Genomic DNA, 5530 nt, shown 5'->3' with positions numbered 1-5530 from the left:
CTTAGTAGAGATGGGGTTTCGTCATGTTGGCCAGGCTGGTCTTGAACTTCTGACCTCAGGTCATCCTCTCGCCTCAGCCTCCCAAAGTGCTGGGATTACAGGCCTGAGCCACCGTGTCTGGCCCAATTTTTGAGGTTTTATCATTCTGGTTGACTCTTCCACCTCAAAGTTTATGCAATTGCCTTATTTGTTTAAGTCAAGAATACATAGTGGTTTTGTCTGGTGTATTTTATCTCTTTCTTCTTTGTTTTTGCTCAGATCTTATTTATCTTTCTATTTCCCTTTCCTCACTCTAAATTTTTGTGTCAAAATGAGCAAACAACAGAAAAACAGCTATGAACTACCTTTTATTGTCTTAAAAATAATCCCAAATAGTACCCATGTCATAAGGGAAGCTGTTTATACAAATGAAATGTTTGCACAGATCGTTCTGCTTTTCCCTCGGCAATGCCGGGGCCCCTTTATTTTATCTCAGTAGAGGCAGTGAAGAAAGAAATAGCTCCATTTCACAAGAAATTAGTTATTCCAAGGCACATGTTAGCTATTTTCCCTAACAACATGTCATTAGGCACCTTCTCTCTCTGCCTGTAGGTGACTGTGCATGATTCAGGGGAACATCCCCATTCCCCTTTGGATGGAAGTTGATGACAAGGCACCTTGTACAAAGCAGTCAGTAAGGAGGAACGGCCCAGCCATCCAGGCGAAGAGCTCTGCCCAGACACCCAGGCAAGGAGCTCTGCCAGGACAACCAGACAAGGGGCTCTGCCCAGGCACCCAGACAAGGGGCTCTGCCCAGACACCCAGACAAGGGGCTCTGCCCAGGCCCCCACAAAAGGGGCTCTGCCCAGACACCCAGGCAAGCAACTCTGCCCAGACACCCAGGCAAGGGGCTCTGCCCAGGCCCCCACGCAAGGGGCTCTGCCCAGACACCCAGACAAGGGGCTCTGCCCGGACACCCAGACAAGGGGCTCTGCCCGGACACCCAGACAAGGGGCTGTGCCTGGACACCCAGGCAAAGGGCTCTGCCCAGATGGTGGACACAGTGCCTCGGATCCAAGTGAAGGGCCTAGGCAAATTGGAGCCTAAGTATAAATGCTGGGGCTTCAGGGGTTCTTTTGGAACTAGTATTTTTTTAAGTTGAAACAATTTCCCCCATACAATGGTGTTAGAATATTTTCAAATTGAAAGGCTAAAACCAGCTTCTTCCCTCAGGAAAAATGGACCTATTTTTAAACCGCCACATCTCACGTTTCTCTCAAATCACGCCGCTGACTTCAGAATGTAGCAGTGTTTTGGGGTATAAATTAAATTTCCCTTTAGGGCCTCAATTAGGGCTAATGGAAATGACTCTAATCCACCCTCCCTGGAATACAAAGTGCCAACCCCTTGTTACTAGTTGAGTTAATTTAACTGAACATGGGGGAGAAACGTTCAGATCCAAGTGAGGGCTTCCGCGGCAGCCATTGTGCCAGCAGCTGGCCAGGCCTGCAGGGCGATGGGCAGACAGGCGGGCAGTCTGTGATGGTGAAAGCTCTTAGGGTGGCGGCCTGTCCTCCAAGAGCACATCTGACGTGAAAGGTTAGAAGATGTGTCAGAGGATGTTAAGGTCACAGTAACCTGGTCAACCAGGGCCAGGGAACGGTCACCGACCTGTATCACAATCTGCAACCCCAGGGAGCTCAGCACCCACGGCCACACCAGCACTGCAGTTGTTCTCCCATCCTTTCTAGTACCATGCTATGTCTGCTTCCGCAGCCGCTGCACCAGAAGGAACGAAGGGGAATGCAACAGAGAGGACACTGGAATCGTCAGGGGGCAGTGAGGAGCTGTATCCATCTGGGTCTCATTTCTGCCTCCACCACATCCTAACCAGACCCTTCTACACATTTCATCTGTAACCTGGGGTTAATGAGAATGCCTACCACCTAAACTTTTAGTGAGAATCAACCAAAATACTATGTGGTCCAGAGGCTGGAAGTTTTCTCCAGAAATAAAGCACAACTGGAATTCTAATATTCTCCAAATATTTCTACTACTCTCCTCCTGGGGTTCTTAGAAAAATGGCTGATTCTGGGACTGGGGCAAGAAATGGACAAGATGAGCCTGGAGCATCCTGTAGGTCTTGGAAGTAAGAATGTTCCAAAACAACAACAAAACCTCCAGTTTCAATGACGGCGTTATGGCAAAAAGACACAGGAGCCACTGAAGATGCCCCAACAGCTGAAGCTGAAATAATTGGAACAACAAAATAAATAAAGTGGTATTGGATTACAACCCAAAATATAAAATAAATATCTGTAGTCCATTAGTGATATAAATAAATGTTGGATACACAAATAAATGGGGGAGAAGACACAAATCTCCTTTGCAGAAGAATTCTGGATAATTTTGTTAGATAGCCGACTCTCTGGGAGGTGGCGCTAACTCCCACCTCGAAGCATGGACACAGAGTGCAGTGTGGAAATGGAGAGAACGCGAAAGTGCAGGGGAGAGCCCTGACACCACCTTGAGCCTGGTGACCAAGGTCAACGTCAGCAGCTTAAGTCACACTGGTACCACATACCCTGGACGGAAGGTGACAAGAATGGCACTTCCGCTCTGTCCTCTTCCTCCCCAGAACTGACAACCTTAGCCCAACCATGACAAAAACATAAGACAAATCCCCCTTGAGGGGCACTCCATCAAATATCTGGCCAATACATCTCAAAACTGTCAAGGTCATCAAAAACAAGGAGAGTACGAGAAACTTTCGCTGCCTGGAGGAGCTGCAGACACAACCAAATGTAGCGTGGAATCCTGGGTGGGATCCTGGAACAGAAAGTAAACATTAGGGAAACATGAAGGAAATTTGAATACAGTCTATACATGAATTAATAATAATTCATCAACTTTAGTTTACTGGTAGGTTTATTGACTAACATGCCATACTAATGTAAGATGTGGATAGAGATAAGAGGGTGTGTGGTTTATGGGAATTGTTTGTATTATCTTTATAATAATTCTATAAACCTAAAATTAACCTAAAACAAAAAGTTAATTTAAAAGAACACAATGTGAAATGTTTTGAACAATATTATAAGACTGTCTTGATAAAAATGTATTCAAATTAAATGAGTGCCTTTTATTTTGAGATCACGCTCATTCTGAGGCGAGGCGGGGCTGGGAAGATGACCTTTAAGGAATGTCAGGACTAGCTCTGGACAGCCTTCCTCCTTGACGTTCTTCGATGATTACGATCTCCACATGGCCAGTGTCAAGCCTGAGGCCTACAAAGGTCTAGTGACCTCCTCAAAGTGACACTTATGCTCTGTGAAGAAGCAGGGGCAGTTTCTTCCTGTGCTGTTGATCAGCTGGATTAAAATAATCATCTCTTTGATGAAGTAGATGGAGAAGGAACTTTTTAGACAGGAAATAAAGCATGCTTCCTCCTCTTCAAACACATTCTTGCCTTTGCTGTGAAGCATTTCTCAGCTCCTTTAAGCACAGCAAGCAAGATTAAAAAATTCCATCATATCATGTGGCAATGCACCCATTCATGCACATGTTGGGACCAATTGCATGCTTGTGGGAACTGAACATTGTTCTTTATGTCATGTCTTAGTGAGCTATTAAAAAAATAGATGCATTACCTGAGAATGACAGTGTTGAGCACTTACATATTGCCAATTACCTGTGCATCATAGCCGTTCACGAAAGAAGGCTGTTGGAAGTGACGTACCCGAGCACACTGCATGCATTTTAACAGGTGACCATCCTGGTTGCAGACATAGGCCACCAGAGGCAAGATAAACCCTGCCATGTCTGGAGCCAGCACCGACATGGATACCAGCAGAATGCCTCACTGTTTTTTAGCCCAGAGACGTCTCCTGGTGTCTGCATCTTTACTCGCTGAGAAATGAGCCAGAGGACGTGATATTATCCGACTTTCTGCAAAGCAAAATTGCAGTCTGAAGTTCTTCAGGGAATTTTAATGTCCGACGATATATAGCAGAAGATTCAACCTGGGATAAGTTTTGGAATGTTAACATGGGTTTCCCCCAGAGATGGTTTATTAATACATGCTCTGGTCTCTGGGATCATGAGTATAAATCAGATTCTATTGAACTCTGTTTAAATTGTGCTACTGTGTCTGCTCTTATCTTTGTACAGTTTCTAAATCTGCTGAAAAACTTCTTGAAAAATATATAGAAAATGAAGTTTCTGTGGCAATGTAATTTGTTTTACCCCCAGAAAACTACAAAACAAGTAGAAACCCGTCCTTAGACCAACCTCTTTCCTCATGCATTTTTTCTCCCAGCGTGGAGTTTTCACTCAGCTCAGCACAGGATGTCAGGAGGTGTGGCCAAGCAGGCGGTTCAGGAAAGGAATCCAGGCAGCTCTCTGCAGGGAGAACAGACACACTTCTGATTTTTTAAAGTAAATGACGTCTCATCTCAGAGTCACACTGAGCTCCAAATTTCAATTATTTAAATCACTGCCTCTTTAATACCCCTCCTCCCACCCACAAAAAAAAAGGACACCATATTTCCTAATGTTGGAGAAGCACCGTACCAGTTTGTAGGCTTCGGCCCCTTAGAGCTAAGTAATTCTAAAACTCCAGGCTCGACTCTGACAGCTCTCACACTCCAGGACTGCCGAATCTGAAAGGAGACTGTGGCCAAATCCCCAAGAACCTTTTCGAAATCATCAGATCTGCGTCTCCCTCAGGGTGGGTGACAGTGCAAAAAGGGAGTGAGCAGGTGCCAGTTTTCATTAATCTTCTTGTCATTCAAGGTTTCAGGGGGAGGGTGTTACAAGGTGACAGTGGGTCCAGATTTGCAAGTACAAAACAAACTTTCAGGTCCGAAGAGACAAAACAGTAAATCCCATCAGACAGTGCTGTCCTTTCCAATCAACCACAGCAGAAAGAAGAGGTGCAGCCTGGAGTTTTACCTTCTCCACGGCTGTTTCTCCTCCAGGTGTCATATAAATTGGCCAGGAATGTGTGCCTTTTCCTGGGAATGGTTTGTCTTCAGCAGTTTGACCTGGCTCTGGATACGGGTGAATTTGTCATTGCCTGGGGAATCCAGGATCCTGCTGAGAAGTGAAGTCCTAGCCGTGTTGACTGGAAACACAGAAGAAGCTTAAGGACAAGGAGACCTTAAAGGTCCTATAGGAAATCCTGGTTTCCTCCTGTGCCCTTGGTTGATGGGAAATCAACATTTTTGGGAACCATTTTTTTTTAAATGGCCCCTCTTCCTTCCTGACCCACAAGGATAAACCCTCAGAGGCCAGAAGGGATCGGATCAGTGAAGACACCTAAAGTCAACTGGGTGAATGGCATTCTCCTCCTTTGGGTATTTGTTATGCAGAGCAGGAGGCAATGAGCTGCCTTTTGAACCTGGAAAGAACTAAATGCAAGCCCTTTGTAGCAGCATGGATGGGGCTGCAGGCCCTTATCCTAAGCAAACCAGTGCAGGAACAGAAAACCAGATACCATATGTTCTCACTTGGAAGTGGGAGCTAAACCTCAAGTGCATATGGATGCAAA

The 5530-nt window shown here is 45.5% G+C and overlaps 1 long non-coding RNA gene across 1 annotated transcript, besides 1 other annotated feature; it reads right to left on the bottom strand.

The window, feature by feature from the left end:
• Positions 1-401: 401 nt before the first annotated feature.
• Positions 402-5277, bottom strand: LOC105372700 (uncharacterized). The gene is made up of 4 exons (XR_936954.3): positions 4552-5277; positions 4270-4380; positions 3671-3927; positions 402-2808 (listed from the first exon to the last, which is right to left on the bottom strand). It is a non-coding gene; the product is annotated as an uncharacterized LOC105372700 (long non-coding RNA).
• Positions 2510-3709: an enhancer, noted in NCBI's record as "CDK7 strongly-dependent group 2 enhancer chr20:59381122-59382321 (GRCh37/hg19 assembly coordinates)". NCBI's record gives its function as "activates an origin of replication core promoter dependent on BRD2, BRD4, P300/CBP, MED14 and CDK7 cofactors, with strong dependence on CDK7, by STARR-seq in HCT116 cells {active_cell/tissue: HCT116}" and the evidence as "EXISTENCE:reporter gene assay evidence [ECO:0000049][PMID:35650434]".
• Positions 5278-5530: the final 253 nt, after the last annotated feature.

The sequence above is a fragment of the Homo sapiens genome, chromosome 20 (genome assembly GCF_000001405.40).
Source record: "Homo sapiens chromosome 20, GRCh38.p14 Primary Assembly".
In the NCBI taxonomy this organism is placed as follows: Eukaryota; Metazoa; Chordata; class Mammalia; order Primates; family Hominidae; genus Homo; species Homo sapiens.
This window is presented reverse-complemented; position numbering and strand designations above follow the sequence as displayed.